This window comes from Homo sapiens, chromosome 6 (genome assembly GCF_000001405.40).
Source record: "Homo sapiens chromosome 6, GRCh38.p14 Primary Assembly".
Taxonomy (NCBI): domain Eukaryota; kingdom Metazoa; phylum Chordata; class Mammalia; order Primates; family Hominidae; genus Homo; species Homo sapiens.
The window spans coordinates 4,400,452-4,401,551 of record NC_000006.12 but is presented as its reverse complement, the minus strand read 5'-3'; positions in this window follow the sequence as shown (position 1 = coordinate 4,401,551).

Genomic DNA, 1,100 nt, shown 5'->3' with positions numbered 1-1,100 from the left:
AGATTAATATAAGATTCATAACATGGTCATTGCAAGAGCATGGGCTTTGGAGTCAGACTCAAGTTTAAATCTTAATTCTAGCCCTCTGCCTTTACTTGGTGAAGCTCTTCTGTAAAATGGGTATATCAATACCTGCCTAATGAAGCGAGCAATGAGGATTAAATGGAATTCTTATGCAAAACAACTGGTACCGTGACTTCTGTGCTCCAGGCAATTCGTAAATGAAGATTCCCTCCCCTTGAGGAGAGTGGCAAAGTTGTTCAGTGGGAGAGAGGGTCGTGGAAACTACTACTGAATCCCAAACCAGGATCGGGATTTACTCAGCAACATGCAAGTAACATGGTATAGGACTGCAATGGGAGAAGCTCCAGGGGCATCACAAAAGGAGCATTTACAGTACCTTGAAGGGAAAGAGGGGTTTAATCATTGGAAGGTGGAGTGGGTGGCACCCCAGGCTAAAGGGCTAGCACAGACCCAGGCACAGAAACTGTCAAGTTGTGTAGCCTTCTCTGAGGATGGGGACTGCCCTGATGTGGCTGGGAATGGAGTGTGCCAAGGAGGCCATGGGGGTCAGCCTGGGCTGGAGCCTTGGGTGACCACAGTATCATCTCCTTGAGTGCATCTCATGGCCCTTCAGGGCTCTCCCAGGAGCAGAGGCTGCGTGTGGGCCTCAGTGGCTTCCTCTAGCCTGCTCCCCAAAGCTCTGTATCTAGAAGAAATTCCCCAGAGCTCCAGGATCTGTGACTAGCTCCTTTCCTGGCATGTTTGCTGCAGCTACAGAGGGTTTTAATTGGGCTCTGTGTTCATAGATCAGCTGAATCCCAAGACATATTAGAAGAATCGTATTGTGCCAAGCCATTGGTTGGAAGTCATCCTGTTCCTTTGGGCATTAATTAGACCCTATTTATCCACAGTGTCCAGTTTTGAACATGACCAAAACCTGAAGATATCAAAGAGGAACAGGAAGGGCACAAGGGAGATCACAGGGATAGGGGATCATGCTGTCCCAGACAGGCTGAGAACATAGGTTGCCTGGGGAGGAGGAGGCTAGGAGCAATGTCGGGATTCTCTCTACATAGAGAATTTTCACTAGGACAAAA